This window comes from Homo sapiens, chromosome 4 (genome assembly GCF_000001405.40).
Source record: "Homo sapiens chromosome 4, GRCh38.p14 Primary Assembly".
NCBI lineage: Eukaryota > Metazoa > Chordata > Mammalia > Primates > Hominidae > Homo > Homo sapiens.
This window is the reverse complement of record NC_000004.12, coordinates 169825186-169826805: the sequence shown is the minus strand read 5'-3', so window position 1 is coordinate 169826805 and position 1620 is coordinate 169825186. Positions and strand designations below refer to the sequence as shown.

General features: G+C 49.9%; 1 annotated feature.

Annotated features, from left to right (window-relative positions):
* Positions 472-656: a silencer, noted in NCBI's record as "fragment chr4:170747301-170747485 (GRCh37/hg19 assembly coordinates)". NCBI's record gives its function as "represses an EF-1alpha promoter that drives an FKBP-Casp9 reporter gene in an ReSE screen in K562 erythroleukemia cells {active_cell/tissue: K562}" and the evidence as "EXISTENCE:reporter gene assay evidence [ECO:0000049][PMID:32094911]".

Genomic DNA, 1620 nt, shown 5'->3' with positions numbered 1-1620 from the left:
TTGCAGCTCTGCTCCCTCTTTGTGCTCTGAGAGTATGAGCTCCTCTCCTACCTGAGTGCTGGCTGCAGATCTAGACTTGGCACTCCTGGGCTGCACATTGCAGCCCTGGGGTGAGCTCAGGCTTTACGTTCCCTACCCAGCTTCGGGTCAGGGACCTTGACACAATGGCAGAGGGCCTTTCACTTGTCTCTTGAAGCTCCAATCCAGAGAAATGCAGAGCCGTGACCAATCAGTGCAATTGGCCCAGACTCCAGTGGCTGCCTTGTGGGCCTAAGCCAGGAGGCTCTGCCTGGAGACAAACAGCAGGAACAAGGCTCACAGAGAAGACAGACTGCCCTCTTTCCTTAGGGCAGCTGCAGCTGATGGTATAAGTAAAGCCCTCAGGCTCTTTGTCCTTTTCCTTAGTATAAGGGCAGCAAGGGCAGAACCACTGCAGTGGTAGTGGCAGAGGGGCTGTCAGTTGCCTCTGGAAGATCCATCCCAGAGAAACTCAGAGCCACCACCAGTGGAAATGCTCACTTGGGAGTGGGAAGCTGCTCTATGGGCCCAGGCTGAGGGCCCTGCCTGGTGAAGGGTAGAAGGTGCTTCCCTGGGACAGAGCTCCTAGAGGGAGCAGGCAGGCCCACAAGTTTTGCTGCCTTAGGAAAAGTGGCCACACTGTTTTCCACGTGGGTACCTTTCCCTACTACTCCTCACTGGGCAGAGCCTCCCAATGTGGGACCTCAGCCATCCCATCTCCATCTGGGCTCTCAGGCCAACAGCTACTCTGCACTTCCCTGGGACGGAGCTCCCAGTAGTAGCAAGCAAGCCACTACCTTTGCTGCTTTGCAGCTTTCTCCTCCTCTGTTCCCTTCAGGCTTGGGAGGGAGTGAAAAAATTAAGGACTTAGTCGATCCCCAGCACAGCATGGCTGCCTGATGGAAAAGTGGCCAGACTGTTTTCCGCATGTCCCTGCTTCTGTTATACCTCACTGGGCAGGGCCTCTCAAACTGGGCTCCTAGCACAACCACCCTGCCTCTGCCTGAACACTTCAGTCGGTGGAGGCTTTACATTTTCTGGGGAAGAAATCCTAGAGACAAACCATAGCCCCTCTCCCATTGCAACTGCAGCAGTACAGATACTGCCTTTACTGTCCTTGGGCTGGGGAAGGAGCAAGGGGCCTAGTCATGTCACAGGCACCTCCAGCATACTGCAGCCACCATACAGAGAGGAGCTCATTCTCTCTTCCCTGTGAGCCATCACCAGTCATCTGTTGATGGACACTTGGGTTGGTTCCTAAGAAATCTTGGCCACTGTGACTAATGCTGCAGTGAACATGAGATGCAGATAGCTCTTTGACATACTGATTTTATTTCCTTTGGAAATAGGTCCAGTAATAGGATTGCTGGATCATGTGGTAATTCTATTTTTAATTTTTTGAAGAACCTCCATAATGTTTTTAATAGCATAAGGATTTTTAATACACTTTTATCCAATCATCTCCCTGAAACTTTTATTTATTTATTTTTAACAGCTTTATTGAGTTATAGCTGACATTCAATAAACAAGAAATTGCTTAAAGGATATAATTTCATGTGTGTGTGCACCCATAAAATAATGATTAGAATAAAGGAAATGGGC